The sequence below is a fragment of the Homo sapiens genome, chromosome X (assembly GCF_000001405.40).
Source record: "Homo sapiens chromosome X, GRCh38.p14 Primary Assembly".
NCBI classification, from domain to species: domain Eukaryota; kingdom Metazoa; phylum Chordata; class Mammalia; order Primates; family Hominidae; genus Homo; species Homo sapiens.
This window is the reverse complement of record NC_000023.11, coordinates 141,486,007-141,508,705: the sequence shown is the minus strand read 5'-3', so window position 1 is coordinate 141,508,705 and position 22,699 is coordinate 141,486,007. Positions and strand designations below refer to the sequence as shown.

General features: G+C 41.0%; 1 long non-coding RNA gene across 1 annotated transcript in view; it reads right to left on the bottom strand.

Annotated features, from left to right (window-relative positions):
- SPANXA2-OT1 (SPANXA2 overlapping transcript 1) overlaps window positions 1–5,857 on the bottom strand; it is a 147,091-nt gene extending 141,234 nt beyond the window's left edge. Inside the window, exon 1 of the long non-coding RNA NR_037183.2 lies at window positions 5,467–5,857. This is a non-coding gene — a long non-coding RNA (SPANXA2 overlapping transcript 1). The remainder of the gene's footprint in view (window positions 1–5,466) is intronic.
- Between the last annotated feature and the right edge of the window lie 16,842 nt (window positions 5,858–22,699).

The window sequence follows — 22,699 nt, the reverse complement described above, 5'->3', positions numbered from 1 at the left end:
CTGCAACAGGAAAGAGGGCCCTCACCAGAACCTGACCATGCCAGCACCTTGATCTTGGACCTTCAGCTTCCAGAAATGTGAAATAAAAGTCTATTGTTTATAAACTGCCCAGCGTGTGCTAATTTCTTATAGTTAAGCTAGGTTCTTCTTATTTGCCAGACTTTATCATAAGCACTTTAAAAAATATATTAATTCAATTCTCACAAAAACCTATGATGTGTTGCATTAGCTCGTTTTCACACTGCTGATAGACATACCCGAGACTGGGAAGAAAAAGAGGTTTCATTGAACTTAACAGTTCCACATGGCCGGGGAGGCCACACCTGTATTCCCAGCACTTTGGGAGGCCGAGGCAGGTGGATTACCTGAGGTCAGGAGTTCGAGACCAGCCTGGCTAACATGGTGAATCCCCGTTTCTATTAAAAATACAAAAAAATTAGCCGGGCGTGGTGGTGTGCGCCTGTAATCCCAGGTACTCGGGAGGCTGAGGCAGAAGAATCGCTTGAACCCGGAAGGCAGAGGTTGCAGTGAGCCGAGATTGCACCACTGCACTCCAGCTTGGGCAACAAGAGCGAAACTCCGTCTCTCTCTCTATATATACACATATATATATATACACACACATACATATGTATGTATATACAACACACATATATATATAGACATATACACACACACACACACACACACACACACACACAATTAGAGTCACCATTTACTCCCTACCACCTCACAAAACCCACATGTGGTTCATCAACAAATCTGACATTTCCACAACCTCCACATTTCCACAACCTCCACTGCTGCCATTTTGATCCCAAAGACCTCAGCTTTCATCTAGAACACTGCCAATAGTATCCTAACTTTTCCCCTCCCCCTCCTTCCATTTTGCCTCTCCTGCATCAAACTCTCCAGTGGATTTTCATCTCACTCACCGTAGAAGTTCCAGTCCTTACAATAGTCTATAAGGTTCTACATGATCTTCCTCTATATATTTCTCATTTCATTTCATCCTACTCTCCTGCTCACTCATTATGATCCAGCCATACTAGCCTCCTAGCTATTCCTTAAAAACATCAGGCTTGCTTGTGCTTCACGGTTGTTGCAATCGCTGTTCCTTCCGTATGCCTAAAATGCTATCGTTTAGATATCTGCACAGTTCACTTCCTCACTTCCTTCAGGCCTTTACTCAAATGTCGTTTTCCTAGTGAAGTTTCCTTGGCCACCCTATCTAAACTTAAACTCTGCCCAACCGCTGCACAATCTCTCCTCGTGCTTTTTTTTTTTTAATTTTTCTGTTTCTCATTTATTGCCTATATCCTTCTATTAAAAGGTAAGTTCTATGAGAGTAAGGATTTCTATCTGTTTTCTTTGCTGCTGTATCCTCCGTGTCTAGAACAGTATTTGGCACATAGCTGGCACTCAATAAATATTTGTTGAAACAAATAAATGAATGAAATCAAGTAAGTAATTTTTAACAGGGAATCTCAGGTGAGGTAAGGTATCCCTTGGTTGATGGGTATGTATTATCCAAGGTGTCTTTCTCTTAAACAATCTTCAGATTCCTCTCTCATTTCAGCCATGTGAATCACACTTCTATAGGCCCTCACTGACCTGGAAGTAAATTTATGAAGTAGATTGCCATCACCAATAGGCCAAATTTGATCTGCATAGAGTTAACTGGCGTAAGTAATCGTGGTTATTACATAACTTGGTTAAGTTTTCTCTCTTTTTTGAGACAGAGTCTCACTCTGTCGCCAGGCTGGACTGCGGTGGTGTGATCTCGGCTCACTGCAACCTCCACCTCCCGGGTTCAAGCGATTCTCCTGCCTCAGCCTCCCGAGTAGCTGGCACTACAGGCGCGCACCACCATGCCCAGCTAATTTTTGTATTTTTAGTAGAGACGGGTTTCACCATGTTGGCCAGGATGGTCTCCATCCCCTGACCTCGTGATGCACCCACCTCAGCCTCCCAAAGTGCCGGGATTACAGCGTGAGCCACCGTGCCTGGCTAAGTCTTTTTCTTATAAGGACTTTCCCAGCAAATATCCTTGTAGCTTCTAGATTGGAAAAACACAGGCCTCAGATACATACCAGTGAGTTTCTTGTACCCTGTGGTAGGTATTCTTTTAAAATTCACAGTCAACTAGTGTGAGGACTCTAAGGGGAAAGCTCCTTTCTTTTAAAGTTTTTAAACCTCTGCATTTAAAAAAAAATTAACTTAAGGAAAAATCCTCGTTCAACTTTAATTGTTAACATGGACTACTGATAAAAAAGGAATGAAAAAATATTCTCTTCTTATCAATCCCTTAATTCTATGAAGAGATTTCCAGCTGAAACCCTTTCTGGCACCTGAGCTTCATGGGTAGAGGAACTTTAATTGAACTCTAAAAGATGGAGCCTCTGTAGAAAGTATGAATATTTTGGTACACATCTTCATGAGCCATTTGCTCAACAGTATTTTTCTTAATGGAGACATTCAAATATTACATTTGCTATTAACATCAATGGAATTCAGTTATACCTTTTAAATAAATACATGTTATAGAGTACCTAGTTTAACTAGGAATTGGCATGAAAGAAAATCTGTTGCAATTTTAAGACCGGTGTTCCGAGCATTTTATAGAAATATCTGTATTAAGACACTGCATTGCCCCATTATTTGAGCTGGCACTTTGGTCTTACCTGGAAGACACATAACTGACACAGAGATCATTCTGTGATTATCAGACAGTGACTGCTGTAAAACAGTAAGTGAGGTATTTTTTTCTCAGCTCCAGCGTTATTAGCCTTAGACAACTCAGATACAGCAGTAACTGCTGATCCAGCTATAAAGTGTGAAGGGAAATGAAGCCTGTGATCTCTGGGAGAGTCTGATTCTCCCATTTCCTGCCATTAGCAAAAGTAAGTTTTATTAAATACAGAGTTATTTAGTAAATGGGGACACCAAGTAGGCTTTAAAGTTGCTTCTAAAGTGTGCTTATACTGGTTATTCATTTCAAAGTAAGTTGGAAGAACCGAGGGGAAAATAGTATTCCAGAAACTTTTACCTCCATCTACATGACTTTGGATTGACTGGACACATTTTGCATACAAATGGAGATTCCTAATATTCTTACCCCAGAGGATCAAGTCCAAACCCATATGGTACAGAAGGAATTGTAAGTAGAAAATATAAGATGACATAATTCCAAATATACAAAATGAAAATCAATGTTGATTATATTTGCCTATTTAACAAGAAAGATAGTAATATTTGAATCTAAAAATCTAGCTATTTACTACTTACAAGAAATTCACTTTAAAAAAAAAAAAGCAACAAACACCAGAAAGGTTGAAATAATTAAAACGACATAAAAAGATATATGAGGCAAGAGATCGTGCCACTGCACTCCAGCCTGGGCGACAGAGTGAGACTTCGTCTCAAAAAAAAAAAAAAAGAAAAAGATATATGAGGCAAATAATTAAGTTGGTACATCGACAATCAATATTAATATGAAAATAAGTTGAATTCAAAGAAAAAAATACTAAATATATGACGAAGTATACTTCATCATGATAGAAACGATAATCCACCCAGCCCACCTAGCTCGAATTTGTGAAAACTGAACAGCATGACCCAAAAACACATGAAACAAAACTTGAAGAAAACACAAAAAGAAACCACTAAGGTAGTTTTAACATGAATTTCTTTTCAAAACTCAACAATTAAAATATCAAATTATAAAAATTATTTGAACAATGCCATGAATATGCTTGATCTAACGTGTGTGTTCATGCATGTATGTGCATGTGTGTAGAAAAAGAGACGAAAAGGAGAAAATAGAGAGAGACATAAGAAGAAAAGTGTTCTTTTTTTTTTCACGCACACAGTGAACATTTACAAAAATTGACTGTGCTCTGGGTCAGAGGTCTGCGAATTTTTTCTGTATACAATCAGATACGTGGCTGGGCGCGGTGGCTCACGCCTGTAATCCCAGCACTTTGGAAGGCCAAGGCAGACAGATCACGACATCAGGAGATCAAGACCATCCTGGCTAACACGGTGAAACCCCGGACTCTACTAAAAACACAAAAAATTAGCCGGGTGTGGTGGCACATGCCTGTAATCCCAGCTACTCGAGAGGCTGAGGCAGGAGAATCGCTTGAACCCGGGAGGTGGAGGTTGCAGTGAGCCGAGATGGCGCCACTGCACTCCAGCCTGGGAGACAGAGCGAAACTCAGTCGCAAAAAAAGAAAAAAAATCAGATATGTAGTAGGCTCTGTGGGTTATAAGGTCTCTGTTTTACAAATATTCAACTCTGCCAATACAGTACAAAAGCAGCCACAGATAATACCCACACGAATGAGCGTGGCTGTGTGCCAACAACTCTTTACTTATAAAAATTTGCCAATGTGACTGTTTCACCTCATAAAAAATTTTCAGCTTGGTCACAATGGCTCACGCCTGTTATCCCAACACTTTGGGAGGCCAAGAAAGATGGATTGCTTGAGCTCAGGAGTTGAGACCAACCTGGGTACCATGGCAAAACCTCATCTCTGCCAAAAAAAAGAACAAAAATTAAAGATTAGCTGGGCATGGTGGCATGTGCCTGTAGTCCCAGCTACTCACAAGGCTGAGGCAGGAGAATTGCTTGAGCCTTGGAGGTGGAGGCTACAGTGAGCTGTGATCACACCACTGCACTCCAGCTGTGGCAACCGAATAAGACCCTGTCTCAAAAAAAAAAATCTAAATAAATTTAAAGAATTTACATCTTAGGCCTCATTTACACACACACACAATACACACACACACACACACACACAAAGAAAGTAGAAGTCAGAAATTAAAAGATGAGTTTACATTTTTAGAAATTAGCAAATTGCTCTCATATTACTCACATATTAGAAAAAGCATCATACTGGAATTTACAAAATATTTTAAACTAAATAATAAAAACCCACACATAAAATGTGTGGCTCTTTTCTTTCAATTAGATGTAAAAGGATGGAAGAAGTTTTTTCAAGAGATTAATAAATTTGTTAATCTCCCAATAAAACTGAAAACAAAATAAGAGAACATACAAATTCCCAATGTCACGAAACAAAGAGGAACAGCACTAAGAGACAGGACTAGCTGGATTTCCTAGACCGACTAAGAGTTCCTAAGCCTAGCTGACGAAGGTGACTGCACTCACCTTTAAACACCGGGCTTGTAACTCAGCTCACACCCGACCAATCAGGTAGTAAAGAGAGCTCACTAAAGTACCAATTAGGCTAAAAACAGGAGGTAAAGAAATACCAAATCATCTATCGCCTGAGAGCACTGGGGGAGGGACAATGATTGGGATATAAACCCCAGGCATTCAAGCCAGGAGTGGGCAACCCCCTTGGGTCCCCTCCGGTTGTATGGGAACTCTGTTTTCACTCTATTAAACCTTGCAACTGCACACTCTTCTCGTCCATGTTTGTTCCGGCTTTCGCTCACCGTTCACCACCGCCGAAAGCCGTCCGTCCACCAACGCCGAAGGCCGTCCGTCCACCACCGCCGAAGGCCGTCCGTCCACCACCGCCGAAGGCCGTCCGTCCACCAACGCCGAAGGCCGTCCGTCCACCACCGCCGAAGGCCGTCGTCCACCACCGTCCACCACCGCTCAACACCCTCCGTCCACCACCGCTGAACGCCGCCCTCGCAGACCCGCCATTGACTTCCACTCCTCCAGATCCAGCAGGGTGTCCTCTGCCCTTCTGATCAGTGAGGCGCCCAAAGGGGCTCGCCATTGTTCCTGTGCAGCTAAGTGCCGGGGTTGGTCCTAATCTACCTGAACGCTGGTCGCTGGTTTCCACGCTTCTCTTCCATAACCCCGGGCTTCTAACAGAACTGTACGGATCACCGCGTGGCCCAAGGTTCCCTTCCTTGGAATCCGTGAGGCCAAGAACCCCAGGTCAGAGAGCAAGAGGCTTGCCGCCATCTTGGTAGCTCTGGACGCAAAGACACGCCCATAACAGCACTACCGGCCCTACTGAAAGTGAAATAATACTAATGGAATATGAGAGCAAGCTGGTCGTGCACGGTGGCTCACGCCTGTAATCCCAGCACTTTGGGAGGCCAAGGCGGGCGGATCACCTGAGGTCAGGAGTCTGAGACCAGCCTGACCAACATGGTAAAACCCCGTCTCTACTAAAACTACAAAAGTAGCCAGGCGTGGTAGCGCGCACCTGTATTCCCAGCTACTTGGGAGGCTGAGGCAGGAGAATCACTTGACCCAGGGAGGTGGAGGTTGCAGTGAGCAGAGATCATGCCACTGCACTGTAGCCTGGGCAACGACAGTGAAACTCTGTCTCAAGAAAAAGAAAAAAAAATGAGAGCAACTTTATGCCAATAAATTTGAAAATTCAGACTCAATAAAAAAATTACTTGAAAAATACAACTTACAAAAACTAATATAAGAATGAATTGAGATATACAAATATACAAACAGCCCAAAATCTGTTAAAAATTGAACTTTTAAAGGTTATATATGTTATATTATGTATATGTAATTTAACTCCCCTCCACAAAAAGACTCCAATGTTTTCACTAGTGACTTCTGACATATTTAAAGAAATAATACCTAATTTACATAAATTCTTTCAAAAACAGGAGAAAGAAATGTTCCTCAACTCATTGTATGAGACTAGCAAATCCCTGATATCAAAATCTATCAAAGATATTATTAGAAAAGAAAACTAAAGATCAATATACCTCATGAATGCAGGCACGAAAATCATTAAAACATTAGCCAACAAAATCAAGTACATAAAATCAAGTAAACAAAAGGGTAATTTATCATGACTGTGCTAAGTGTCCCCAAGTCCAAAAACCAGCCTTGGTGATTCACTAGAAGGACTTACAGGACTGACTCAGGATATAGACGTTGTATTCATGCCTAAGATGTAATAAAATGAAATGATATAAAGCAAAATCAGCAAGGAGAAAAGGTATGGAGGGAACCAGGAATAAGTTTCCAAGTCTTCTCCTGGGAGAGTCACATAGGACGCACTTACTTCTTGCAGCAACAAGCTGTAACAAAATGTGTGAAATGTTTTCTACCAGACAATTTCTTTAAAGACTCAGTGTTTATTAGAGGTTGATTATGTGGTGACTTTCTGCCTAGGGCATACCAAAATTCCAGTCCCCCGAAAGTAAAGTAGGTGTTCAGTATAAACCACATTGTACGGTTTAAGCACAGTAAGCCACTCTTATCAGTTCGTTTGGGGAGAAGTCTCCCAAAATCCAAGTTACCGGACACCATCCAATGGCCAAACTTGCAAGCAAGCCTTTCTAATATCTAGGCCTACAATATTAACATTTTTCTGAACAATGACCAACTGAGTTTTATTCTGAGAATAAAAAGAAAATGTTTTAACAATTAAAGTCCAACCAGTGTATTTCACCATCTTAACAAAATAATCCAAATAAAGAACATCTGATTGTTTGAATAGATGCAGTAAAACTACTTGGCAAAATTCAACATTCTTGATAATCTAGTTATAGACAGTAATTTCCTCATTCCAATAAAAATCATCTATAAAAACTTATGGCTAGTATCATACTTATTGTGAAATTGTAAACAGTTTGCATAAGACTTCCAAAGAGGAAATGGTTTTACAGGCAGTCCTAGACAGAGCAATAAAGCAAGAATATTAAATAAAAGGTCGACATTTTAGTATGAAAAGAGTTAAAACTTTATTAGCAGACGACACGGTCAGTTGCACAGAAAATTCCATGTAATATACAAAACAACTAGTAAAATTAAAAAGTTAATCTAGCAAATTTACAGCATACAAAGTTGACGTAAAAAGACTATTGTTTATGTACCAGCAACCAAAATTGCAAAATAAACTTAAAATACCACTTTCATAATATTCAAAAGCAGAAAATGCTTAGAAATGAATTTAATAAGTATCTAAAACTTCCACACTAAAAACTGTAAGACAGCATTGAGAGAAATTAAAGAAGACCTAAATAAAAAGAGACATGTGCTATGTTCATCAATTGGATTACTTAATATTGTTTACATGCCTGTTCTCTCTAATTTAATTTATACATTCGTCATGATCTCAGTGAAATCACAGCAGAATTTTTTAGTGGAAAACGAAAAGTTGGGGAGCAAGATGGCAGAATAGACAGTTCTACCAGTCATCCACCTCACAAAGACATCAGGTAAACAATTATCTACACACAAAAAAAGCACATTCAGAAGAACCAAAAATCAAGTAAGCACTCACTATGAAAGGAAAATAAATCTTGGAACCCCCAAATCACTACACTAAAGGGAAAAGTCAAGCTGTGGACTGCTTCCGGCAAACCTACCTCCCATTCTATTCAAAGTCATCCCTCTGCTCACTGAGATAAATGCATATCTGATTTCCTTCTTTGGAAAGGCTTATCAGAAACTCAAAAGAATGCAACCATTTGTCTCTCACATACCTATGACCTGGAAGCCGCGTCCCCACTTCGAGTTGTCTTACCTTTCCAGGCAAAACCAGTGGACATCTTACATATATTAGTTGATGTCTCATGTCTCCCTAAAAATATATAAAACCAAACTGTAGCCGTGCGTGGTGGCTCACGCCTGTAATCCCAGCACTGTGGGAGGGCTGAGGTGGGCGGATCACGAGGTCAGGAGTTCGAGACCAGCCTGACCAACATGGTGAAACCCTGTCTCCACTAAATATACAATAATTAGCTGGGCCTGGTGGCGTGTGCCTGTAATCCCAGCTAGTCAGGAGACTGAGGCAGGAGAATCGCTCGAACCCGGGAGGTGGAGATTGCAGTGAGCCAAGATCACACCACTGCACTCCAGCCTGGGCGACGAGAGCAAAACTCCGTCTCAAAAAAAAAAAAAAAAAACACAACAGAAAAACCAAGCTGTGCCCCGACCACCTTGGGCACATGGGCACATGTTGCCAGGACCTCCTGAGGCTGTGTCACGGGCGCACGTCCTTAACTTTGACAAGATAAACTTGCTAAATTGACTGAGACTTGTCTCAGATACTTGGGGTTTACACAGAATACATGGTTTTAATTTCAAATTGCTGAAAGAGTCACTGAAGAGGTAAGAAAAAGTGCCTGGAATCACCAATGCCACTTCTCCCTCATCCCTCAGCAGCAGTGGTGTGGTGTGGGGAGCATTTCCGTGTGCAGGAGAGAGGGATAGTGCAGCAATTGTGAAGCACTGTAGCTCCTGCCCTGTAATAGCATAACATAAAACCAGACCAAATTCAGCTGATGCCTGCCCACAGAGGGAGCATTTAAACCAGCCCAGCCAGAGGGAAATCACTGATTCTTTTGTTACCAGAAAGGGGTCCCGATCCAGACTCCAAGAGAGGGTTCTTGGATCCGGTGCAAGAAATAATTCAGGCCGAGTCCATAGAGTACAGTGAAAGCAAGTTGAAGAAAGTGAAGGAATAAAAGAATGGCTACTCCATAGACAGAGCAGCCCGGAGGGCTCTGGTTGCCCATTTTTACGGTTATTTCATGACTATATGCTAAGCAAGGGGTGGCTTATTCATACCTCGCCTTTTACACCATATAGGGTAACTTCCTGACGTTGCCATGGCATTTGTATACTGTCATGGCACTGTCGGAAGTGTAGCAGTGAGGACGACAAGACGTCACTCTATCGACATCTTGGTATTGGCGGGTTTGGTTGGCTTCTTTAAAACTGCAACCTGTTTTATCAGCGAGGCCTTTATGACCTGTGTCTTGTGCCGACCTCCTAGCTCATCCTGTGACTTAGAATGCCTACCCATCTGGAAATGCAGCCCAGTAGGTTTCAGCCTCATTTTACCTAGCTCCTACTCAAGATAGAATTGCTCTGGTTCAAACGCCTCTGACACCAGTGGTCTAAACATGAGTTCCTGCAAGCCTCATCACTGCGGGACAAAGTGCCCTGGGGCTCTAAGTAAATTTGAATGGTAGTTTAGACCACAAGGACTGCAACTTTTCCGTGAAACCTAGTGCTGAACTGGGCCCAGAACCAGTGGACGTGACCCACCCAGCAAACAGCTGGAGCTTCTTTCTTTCTTTCTTTCTTTTTTTTTTTTTTTTGAGACGGAGTTTCACTCTTGTTGCCCAGGGTGGAATGCAATGGCGCGACTTCGGCTCACTGCAACCTCCGCCTCCCAGGTACAAACGATTCTCCTGTCTCAGCCTCCCAAGTAGCTCGCATTACAGGCATGTGTCACCACGCCTAGCTAATTATTTTGTATTTAGTAGAGATGGGGTTTCACCATGTGAGGCTGGTTGTGAACTCCTGACCTCAGGTGATCCGCCTGCCTCGGCCTCCCAAAGTGCTGGAATGGCAGGCGTACACCACCGAGTACGGCCTTCAGCTACAGTTTCTAAGGAAGTGCTGGCATCACTGCTCCCCTAACCCCAAGCTGCACAGCTCATGGTTCTAAAATACACCCCTTCCTTCCACTAAAGGGGAGGAGAGGAAATAGTTGGGAGGACTTTGTTTTGCATCTTGGAAACCAGCTCAGCCATAGCCGGATAGGGCACCAGTCAGAATCATGAGACTCCCTTTCCAGGCACTAGCTCCTAGATGATATTTCTAGATGCACCCTGGGCCAGAAGGGAACCTGCTGGCTTGAAGGAAAGAATGCAGTCCTGGCAGCATTCATCACCTGCTAACTGATGAGCCAAAAGTGCAAGCAGGTGAAGCAAAATTAAACAAGTGGTACTACATCAAACTGAAAAGCTTGATGTAGAAAGGACACAATCAACAGAGTGAAAGACAACCTACATAATGGAAGAAAATGTTTCCAAACCATACTCCTGACAAACGATTCATGTCCAAATATATTAGGAACTCCTACAACTCAATAGCAAAAGAAAAAAAAAACACACACACACACACAAAAAAAACCTGGACAGTGGAGCTGAATAGGCATTTCTTCAAAGAAGACATACAAATGGCCAAAAAAGGGATTAAAAGATCCTTAATATCACTAATCATAAAAGCAATGCAAATCAAGACCACAAGGAGATATTAACTCACGCTTTTAGGATAGCTGTAATTAAAAAATCAAAAGATAACAAGTGGGGCAATGATGTCGAGAAATTGAGAACCTGTAAACTCTTGGTGGGAATGTGAAATAGGGCAGCCACTATGGAAAGCAGTGTGATGGTTCCTCAAAAAAATTAATAATAGAAAAACCTAAATGTCTGTCAGTCGATGAATGAATAAGAAAAATATATATGCATTCAGTGGAATATATTATTTAGCCATGAAATCCTGCCATATGCTACGACATAAATAATCCTGAAGGATGTTATGCTAAGTGAAATACATCAGTCACAGAAGGGCAGTTACTTCGTGTTTCTACTTATATGAGATATCTAAGATAATCAAACCCATAAAAACAAAGAGGGCCGGGCGCGGTGGCTCACGCCTGTAATCCCAGCACTTTGGGAGGCCGAGGCGGGCAGATCAAGATGTCAGGAGATCAAGACCATCCTGGCTAACATGGTGAAACCCCGTCTGTACTAAAAATACAGAAATTAGCTGGGTGTGGTGGTGCGCGCCTGTAGTCCCAGCTACTCGGGAGGCTGAGGCAGGAGAATTGCTTGAACCCGGGAGGCGGAGGTTGCAGTGAGCCGAGATTGCACCACTGCACTCCAGCCTGGCAACAGAGCAAGACTCCACCTCAAAAAATAAAAAAAATAATAAAACAAAGAGTAGAATGGTGGTTTCCAGGGTCTGCTGGAAGGAAAAAAATGCATGGTCACTGGTATACTTTCTCAGGTTCCTCTCTCAATTATATTTAAATCTATACTTCTTTGGGGCAGCTCTTTCTTCTACCTTGGGTTGGTACATTAAAATGTTTCTTAGATTTTGCTAATAGCGAACTTGGCTATCTTAAGTTTCCTCTGCTATATTTGGGTTATTTCAGAGCGGAGAAGGTAGAAATGCCCATCACTCTCCCATTTTCAAGCATCAAGTCCCTTTAAAAAATGTATTTAATGACATAAACCTAATTAGACATTCTGGTTCTTTTAAAACAAAATGAGGAACCATTTTAAGAAGTATACAGTTTGGTGGTGTTATCGTATTCAGAGTTGCGCAGCTCACAACGCTAATTCCCAAATATTTTAATCACTCTAAAAAGAAACTCCAGACTCATCAGGAGACACTCGTTATTCTTCACCTTAGCTCCTGGCAACCACTAGTCCATTTTGTGGCTCTGTGGATTTGCCTGTCGGAATATTTCATATCAATGGAATCAGACGATTCATACAATTTGTGGCCTTATGTGTCGGGGGGCTGTTTTCATTTAGCGTGATGTTCTTGAAGTTCCTCCATGTTGTAGCAAAATTAATACAATTAATTGTATTAATTAATTGAATTGTATGAATACAATTAGTTTTTTTATTGTGTTAAGAACACTCAACATGAGATCTACCATCTTAACAAATATTAAAGTGCACAGTACAATATTATTAACTGTAGGCACCATGCTGTAAGCAGAGGTTTAGAACTTACTCACTTTGCCTAACTGAAACATTATACCCATTGAACAGCAACTTCCATTCGTCTGGTGCTCAGCTGCAGCTTACAAATGTTGCAGAATTAATGTCCCGAGCACCCAACTTCCAAGGATGGTGGGAGGGAGTAAGAAGGTAATTGCCCCAGCCACCTTATCTTTCAGAGGGACAATTCTGAGGTATGCCCTACACAATTCCTTTAAAGATTCCCAGTGAGACTCAGTCTCAGTCGCCCACACCAACAACAAGCTCAGTAATGCACCCTCCATTCACTTTTCTTCTCTGTCTTACTCTCCCTGCTCCCATACTCGGAAGACTAATGACCACCTCTCGAACTTCCTGCACCCGTTCTTGCACTCATTCTTAGAATGAAAAGAAAAGGACAAATACTCTGCGTTGTAAATATCCCTAGAGCAGCCAATGTCTTTATTGACATAGGGGAAAATGAAGCTTCAAAAGAAAAAAAAAATACACTCATACACACATCAACACACATACACATACATGCACACACGTGCAAAATTCTGAATATTAAGGAAAATTCCTACCATCCCCAAACTCTTCCCATGCACTTTCCGTAGATAGATAGATGGGAATTATTTGGCCCAGAAAAGCCTTTTTTCAATCAAAAAGGTGCTCAAAACAGGGCAGGCACAAATAAATAAAAAGTACCCTATGAGGGCCGGGAGGGGTGGCTCACACCTGTAATCCCAGCGCTTCAGGAGGCCGAGGCGGGTGAATCACCTGAGGTCAGGAGTTCAAGACCAGCCTGACCAACATGGTGAAACCCCGTCTCTACTAAAAATACAAAAAGTTAGCTGGATGTGATGATGAATGCCTGTAATCTCAGCTACTCAGGAGGCTGAGGCAGGAGAATCGCTTGAACCTGGGAGGTGGAGGTCGCGGTGAGCCAAGATCGTGCCACTGCACTCCAGCCTGGGGTACAGAACGAGACTCCGTCTCAAAAAAAGGCACCCTATGAGAAACAAAGGTGAATAGAACAGAAAAAAAAATGTCAGAAAAATAATACCCACTGCTAAAGTTTGCCACAGGAAAGATTAAAAATTTCACCAATGTCCACGTTCTATAACGGAAGCCAAGGTTATTTGGACCAACCTGTATTAGTTCATTGTCACGCTGCTGATAAAGACATACCCGAAACTGGGAAGAAAAGGAGGTTTAATTGGACTTACAGTTCCACATGGCTGGGGAGGCCTCAGATTCATGGCGTAGGACCAAAGGCTCTTCTTACGTGGCGGTGCCAAGAGGGAATGAGGAAGAAGCAAAAGCGGAAACCCCTGATAAACCCAGCAGATCTCCTGAGACTTATGCAGTATCACAAGAATAGCACGAGAAAGACCAGCCCCCATGATTCAATTACCTCCCCCTGGGTCCCCCTCCCACAACATGGTAGGAATTCTGGGAGATACAATTGAAGTTGAGATTTGAATGGAGACACAGCCAAACCATATCACCTCCCAAACAATTGAAAATTCTGAATGGAAGAAACATTAATTGTATCCAAAACTGATGGGCCAGGAAGGAACTATCAGCCTCCTATCTCTAGACAGACAGTAGTCAAAGCCCAGGGCGTACTTATGAAAAGAGTTTAATAGCCGACTCTCTCCAGATGGATCTGGGATTCCATAGGACTGTATCTTCATGTTAAGGGTGAAACAGAAGGAAACCCGTCCCTATTTCCAAACTCAAGGAACTTTCGCAGAAGTTGTCTTGGAGCTCAGCAGAACAAGGAGGAAAACAGAAAAAAATTTGTGTCCGTGAGAAGTCATGACACAGGCTGGCTATCACAGATTGTCAAGCCAGCTCCGTATTGCTTGGGTATTACGGAAAATCTCAAAACATAAATTTGTGTGTGTGTTGTCCCAGAGTAGCAGGATCTGGCAGAAACAAATTTCAACCCAACCCTCAAAGAATCCACATGAATCTTTTTACATTTGGGATTTTACCATTTGTTTTATGAATGAGAATGGACTTTAGTTTTAATATCTGTTTCTATACTCAATTTCTGTGGTGTTGGTATCAAAGTTCTGCTCGCCTCATAGAATAAGTTTAGGATTTTCCCTTTTTTATTTTATAGAATCCTTCATATATATTGAAATGCTCTGTCTGGGGAAAAAAATCTGGGCCTACTGTTTTATCTGTAGGAACAATCCTTTATTTCCTTTAACATTTATGAGACTATTCAGATTACATACTTCTTATTTCAATTTTACTAAGTTATACATTTATAAAAATCTGTGTATTTGATCTAGGCTTTCAAATTTGTAGCATAAAGTGTTAATCATATTTTCTCATTAGCTTCTTAATCTATACTCTGTCTGTAGTTATGTATCTTTTTAATTCTTACTTTTATTTGTGCTTTCTCTCTTTTTTTCTTAACTTCCCTGAGGTTGGCGCCTTTTATTATATTTCTCCAACAACCAAATTTTAGCTTTGTATGTTTTACTAATTTTCTCTACATCATTATCCCCTCACTTTAGTTTTTCAGAATTAATTCTGTTGTTTCTTTTCTAATTCTTTATTTAAATATGTAGTACATTAATTTTCAAGTTGTAGAAACATTCAAGTCTATAAACTCCTATTGTAATATCACTTTTACTGCTACTCACACATTTACTCTGTAATATTTTCAATATCATTAAGTTCTAAGTACTTTTAAATTTATATTATGGTAATCCATGAATTGCCGAGAAATATTTATGTTATTGATTTTGTTGTTGAATTTCAACTTAATTTTATTTTAATTTGTGCTAACTCAATTGAAAATTCCTTACTAATTTTTTAAATCTCATATCAAGACTTTTATTCACATCAATTGTTGTGCAAATGCTCTCACCTTGAAGAACACTCTCTTGTAAGCTGCTTCCCTGCAACTGTCTTGACTGGTTGCCCTCTAGGCCTGATTCAATTTTCTCATCCTAGGATTTTCCATCACTACACTTTTAAGAATTTCTCTCTCTCTTGTGTTGTGTCTCCTATTTTCCGCATTCCACATCTTCATCTTTCTTGGTTTACTTCTTCCTTTTGGTAGGAAAAACATCTCTAGTAGCTTCCTAAGAAAAGGTTCACAGGGAGACAAAATTTTAGAGATCTCATATGTCTGAAAAGTGTATGTTTTCTCCTTGTACATTTGATTTTAGTCTATGTGGGAATAGAAACGTACGCCAGAAATCATTTTCCTTTAGAATTTTCAAAGCATAACTCCATTGCGTTCTGGTTTATAGTGATGGTGTCAAATTATTATTATTATTATTTTTTGAGACGGTGTTTCACTCTCGTTGCCCAGGCTGGAGTGCAGTGGCGCGACCTTGGCTCACCACAAACTCCGCCTCCCGGGTTCAAGTGATGCTCCTGCCTCAGCCTCCCGAATAGCTGGGATTACAGGCAAACGCCACCACACCCTGCTAATTTTGTGTTTTTGGCAGAGACAGGGTTTCTCTATGTTGGTCAGGCTGGTCTCGAACTGACCTCCGGTGATCCGCCCACCTCGGCCTCCCAAAGTGCTGGGATTACAGGCACGAGCCACCACGCCTGGCTGGTGTTGAACATTTTTAAGCCATCTGATTCCTCGTTCTTTCTCCCTTAACTATTTTTACCCCTCTGGAAACTTATACAATTTTCTCTTTGTTGTCAGTGTCCTGAAATTGTACACTGATATATCTTGACACAAGTCTATTTTCATCTATTTTGCGAGGTGCTAGCCTTTTAATCTATAAATAAGCATCCTTAAGTTCTGAGACTTTTTATTGAATTATTTTGCTAACGATTTAGTCCCCTTTCTTTTACGTATTTATTTTCTTTCTATAACTCATATAATTAAAATGTTGGAAGAAATTATCTTGGAGAAGAAGATAGCGCCACACTGATTCTATCTGTGTCAAACTATCACAGCTCAAGATTTTCATATTTTATTAAGGAGAATTGTATTTCTTGGCATTCACATTGTTACCTAAAGAAGGGCAATGACTGGTTAAACATTGAAATGTATGAGTAATAGTTAGAAGATGCAAGCACTGTATCCTCCAGAACTTTAGCATATGAAAACCTTTAAATTCCAGGCAAGTTGATTTAAGCTTCAACATTCTCCCAGCTAAAATGAATCTATTTGTGCTACGTTCTGAGATCAAAGGTGAATAAGACATTGTTTCTGCCTTCGGTGATATCTCAGTCCAAAGGGAGACAAGTAAATATGATATAAAAAGAGAGATATCTAGGCCGGGCGCGGTGGCTCACGTCTGTAATCCCAGCACTTTGGGAGGCCAAGGTGGGTGGATCGTGAGGTCAGGACATCGAGGCCATCCTGGCTAACACGGTAAAACCCCGTTTCTACTAAAAATACAAAAAATTAGCTGGGTGTGGTGGTACACGCCTGTAGTCCCAGCTACTTGGGAGGCTGAGGCAGGAGAATCACTTGAACCTGGGAGGCAGAGGTTGCAGTGAGCCGAGATCATGCCACTGCACTCCAGCCTGGGCGACAGAACGAGACTCCATCTCAAAAAAAAAAAAGAGAGACAGAGATATGTAAAGTTCTATAAAAACTGAGAAGAGGGACAGAATATCTGTGACAGATAACTTGGTTGGGGCAGTTGGAAACAAGGAGGTCTCAGTGTATGCTTTCACTGTGTCACATTTGATTATAGGCAGAAACAAATGAATCTTAACATTTAAGGGTCACAGACCCTTTTAAGGATGTAATGAAATTTATAATGATTCTTTCAATAAAAAATTATATAACAAACATACACATATATTTTGCTTACTAACTCAGAATGTGCATCATCAAGAACTCTGGGTATAGGAGAATGAGTAGCAATGTTTCAGGCAGACAAGAAGGGAAGGGGAGTCCACACAGAGGAAACAGCATGTGCAGGAGCCTGGAGACACAAAAGCTTGTGCATTATTGGAATCAAGGTGACTATAACATAATTCAGGGTGATTGGAGCATAAACTGGAAGATTAACCAGTCATGGTATAAGATGAAAATAGAAGGCTGGGCCTGGTGGCTCATGCCTATAATCCTACACTTTGGGAGGCCGAGGCCTCCCTCAGGTAGATCCCTCAGGTGGGCCTCCCTCAGGTAGATCACCTGAGGTCAAGAGTTTGAGACCAGCCTGGCCAAAATGGTGAAACTCAGTCTCTACTAAAAATACAAAAATTAGCCGGGCATGGTGGCAGGCGCCTGTAATGCCAGCTACTCAGGAGGCTGAGGCAAGAGAATCACTTGAACCCGGGAGGCGGAGGTTGTGGTGAGCTGAGATGGCGCCATTGCCCTCCAGCCTGGACAAAAGAGTGAAACTCCGTCTAAAAAAACAAACAAAAAAGAGCCCGCATGCGGTGGCTCACGCCTATATTCCCAGCACCTTGGGAGGCCGAGGTGGGCGGATTACCTGAGGTCAGGAGTTCGAGACCAGCCTGACCAACACGGAGAAACCCTGTCTCTACTAAAAATACAAAATTAGCCAGGCGTGGTGGCACATGCCTGTAATCCCAGCTACTCGGGAGGCTGAAGCAGGAGAAGCGCTTGAACCCGGAAGGCGGAGGTTGCGGAAAGCCGAGATCGCACCATTGCACTCCAGCCTGGGCAACAAGAGCAAAACTCCATCTCAGAAAAAAAAAAAAAAGTAGAAAATATAAGATAAGAAGATAGCCAGGGATAAAGCATGAACTATCTCAAATGTCAGTCATGCACTTTGTTTACTCAGAGACAAGACCATGATTGATTACAATTATACACGTCATGTCAACCCTCTTCTAACTGTTAACAGATATAGCTGGAACAGCTAGTACCCAATGGAATACTAATTAACATTCTGACTGTAGGGTTTCACTGGCATTCACTACAGGTGTTGAGTGTGGAGTGCTCAAACCTCAAACTTACAGCTTCATGAAAGAAAAATCAACGTTAGAATGAAACACAAAGCCCCTCAACAACTACATCAATTATTTTATTCCTGAATAACTTACAGCAGAATGGCAATCTTCAATTAGTAGAAACGGTTCTCAACCATAGAAACAACTTAGATTTACCTGGGGAGTTTACAAAAAGCATACCACGTGGGAGATCTATCCCAGACCAATTAAATCAGAATTTATGGGGATCGATGGATCCTGGACATCTGAATTTTGGAAAGCTTGACAGATAACTTTAATGCGCATTCAAAATTGAGAGCTTCTATGTCAAGAAAAATAATCCATGAAAGTAAGTTCCTATCTACTCATCTGCCCTTAATTATACTACACTGTTCTCATGCAGCATGATACAAGTCAAAATTATTAATTTTTTTCTGAGATGGAGTCTAGCTCTGTCGCCCAGACTGGAGTGCAGTGGCACCATCTTAGCTCACTGCAACCTCTGCCTCCCGGGTTCAAGGCATTCTCCTGCCTCAGCCTCCTAAGTAGTTGGGATTATAGGCGCCCACTACCACGCCCAGCTAATTTTTGTATTTTTAGTAGAGACGGGGTTTCACTGTGTTGGCCAGGCTGGTCTCGAGCTCCTGACCTCGTGATCTGCCCGCCTTGGCCTCTCAAAATGCTGGGATTACAGGCGTGAGCCACCGCACCCGGCCAAAATTTGTATTTTTAAATATTTAAAAATATATGTGGTAAGGCGCAGTGGCTCATGCCTGTAATCCCATCGCTCTGGGAGGCCGAGGTGGGTGGATCACTTGAACTGAGGAGTTCAAGACCAGCTTGAAAATATGGTGAAACCCTGTCTCTACAAACACTACAAACATTAGCCGGGCCTGGCGGTGCGTGCCTGTGGGCCCAGCTACTCAGGAAGGTAAGGCGAGAGGACTGCTGGGGAGGATCACTTGAGCTCAGGAAGCTGAGGCTGCAGTGCACAGAGATGGAGCCACTGCACTCCAGTCCAGTCTGGGCAACAAAGTGAGTGTATATATATATATACACACACACACAGATTTGGCCACTTTAATTCCTCTGCAATGGAAGTCTGAGCAGCATGCTTGAGGGTCAATATCAGGACCTGCAGGCAGCCAGCCTGTGCTAGAAATGTTCAGAGTGGGTTTTTTCACATACACTTTCATCTTCTGAGTGTACTGCCTGAGGCTATTGTTCTCTTCATATCTTGCAGATCTTTCTGGGGAAAAGGCCGCATGCATCAGCAGTTTTTTTGCTAAGGGTCTTGTAATTAATTGGATGACCTTTCAGTCAAAGAATTTCTAAGGACAAGATTTCTCCTATTTTGGCTCAGGAAACTGCAGGCATCAGTTGCACAACAATATTTAACATTAGCACAGCTAATAAGTCATATCCGTTGCATTAAACAAAATGTACAGAACTTAATATTTTTAGTTACACCCAAACACTAGATAGGGTTTGCAATTAATCATTTTTACATTCTATATTCTGTTTGACACTGATTGTACAACTTCAAGAAGAGGGTCACACAATGATTTATTCAGTAAATATGTATAGAGCTTGTGTGTATCAAAAACTGTGCTAAGTGCTGAAATTAGAAAACATACCATGTACCTGCCCTCAACATGTTGTCATTCTATTAAATGGTGTAATAACACAACACTGAGTCATAGAAGTTTCGAAAGAGAAGTTCACACAAAAAAAGAGCTAGGCAAATGCGTCTGACATTATATATCACTTATAGCTGGTATCAGTTAAAGCCAGGTCTTCAAGGCCCATGAATGCCAGGATAGAAAACTTAGAACAAACTGTCTACACAAAGGGGAGTTTGTTTTATTTGGTTTTGTTTTTCATAGGAAAATAAGATCAGAGTTTCAGGAAGGGTATAAGACTAACTGCAATATATAGGATGGATTGAAGATCAACAAGAGAAGACAGAAGGTGAGTTATGAGTTTTATTAAATGGTTAAACTAATAGATGATGGTGGCCTGGGCAAGGAAAGCGGAAGCAAGGACTGGAAGAAAGAGACAGATGCGAGAATCATTGCAAAGATAAAGTAAAAAAGTCTTGGCATGAGTTTTCAAGTTGGGGCTAGTAAAAAATATTGTGGGATTCTTGGCATTCATCTATCCATCAAATTATTCAACGAGTCTTTATTAAAAAAACTACTATGCAACAAGCACTGTGCTGGGTTCTGGAGGTACAGCAATGAATATGGGATTCATAGTCCCTGAACTTCATAAAGCTTTATGTACAGGGAGAGACAGATAATAAATAAAAGACACAAGCAGTTGTAAATGCTGTGAAGGAAATTTTGGGATGCTGCAAGAGAGTAACAGACAGCAGTGATGGTTAGTGTAATGGACAGAACTACTGTATATTGATATTGGGTACTAAGTGAAGCTTTCTCCAAGGAAGTCTTATTTGATATATCAGAAAGAGCAAGCATTGAAAAAGAGGAAAAAAAAAAACAGCTGCCAAGGCTCAAAAATAGGACAATTTTGGCATAGTTCTGTGTTTGAAGAACAGAGAGTTGCCAATGTGCAGAATAATGCCGAGAATTTGAGTAAGAGGAAAATGATAAAGTAACCAGTGGTTTTAATAGTGCAGATGGTAATGCTGACCTCGATAAAAGCAGTTCCAGTGGAATGAGAACAAAACCAAATTGAACTGAACTGAAAAGTAAGTGGGAAGAAATGAGGGAAGTGGCTACAGTGTGTTTAGTGGAGAAAACAAATGAGGGGGTAGGTGGCAGGGGGATACACAACGGGGAGAATTCTAGTTTGTAAAAGTGATATAAGAATTTAGATCACAATCGCACATGTATACTGAGCTGGCAGAGAGGGAGAGATTAACGTACATGAGAAAATAAAATTGAGAGCAGTGGATTGTGGTTTCTAGCACCAACAGTTCACTCTCACCTTGCCTTTGAGTTGGATAAATGGCTGAAAGCTGATTCTTTTTCAAGGTTGGTTTCTATTTGGGAGAGAAGGGAGTACGGAACAAAATGAAAATTGTAAACTGCATAGAAAAATAAGGATACTGAGTACCGTAGAGGAAGAAAAGAGCTCAGGAACAACAAGATCCTGGTCCTCAAACCGAATGCTGCCTACTTTCTAATCTAGCTTCACATCACCCCTACTCCAGTTCCCAAAAGAACAATGATTGTTTCATTTAATCTAACCAAGAGCACTTTATACATCCCACCATATACATCTGTCATCTCAAAGAAGAAAGAGTATTTTAGGACTAAAAATAAAAAGAATGTAATATTAAGATTAAAATCAAATAACAAATCTAGCTTCATTGAAAACCTGTCTATACTGTTTTCTTATTTTTCTTTTAATTCTGCCATGGATTAGTGAAAATATTATCCCAGTCTTGTGTCTGTCTAGAAATCAGTATTGGGAAATCGCTAGACTGATTGCCTTATGAAATCGCTTCCAATTCAAATTCTATGATTCAGTTAATAATTACAAAACATATCATATTTGAAGTAAAATAATTTCCTTTTTATCTTCCATTCAATGATCTTATAAATAACTCTTCGCCAAGTCACCTTTGCAGTTCTCTCAGCTATAGGGATCTAAAGCAACATTTTGACACCCTCATCAGTTTCAAGGGCCTATTCTCCCAACTTTTCAGAGAGCCAAGAGCATTTACCATAAACATATCTCTCAGCACAAAAGATAATAGCTGGTTCAACTGTTCTCTGTCAGCCTGAATGTTGGTGAAGACCTCAGTAATCACACTCCACTCTGCACAAATCCAAAATCACAAATGCAGATTAATTTATGAGAACAGAAGGAAGGAATTGAAAGAAAAAAAAGGCTGTCTTGCTGGAAGAAAGAAAAACACAAAAGAAGTCCCACTGGCTAGCTCATTTGGATATTTTTATTTCTAAAGTGTTCAAGCATCCTGATATTTTTTCAGCACTCTTAAAGAGACAATTAAATATTATATCAAATAGGATATTTAAAAAGATGACTTAAGTTATAACAAGCGGACTCTAAATACCAGAATGACCACTGGCTTACTAAGACCTCTGATCTGCAGGCCTGTGCCTGATGATGCCTTTCTAATTGCAACGGCATGGGCCTGGAGCAAAGTTTATTTTACTGCAAGGTCTACTTTATTGAATTTACTGCCTGTCCTAATTCTATGTATTTCCGATTAGCTGGCCTTCAAAGCTGATGTTAGTAGAAGGAAACTGTTTTCTGACATGCTGACATTTTAAAGCTAATAGGTTTTTAATAAGCAATTGAGTTTGCAGCATTCTGCTCC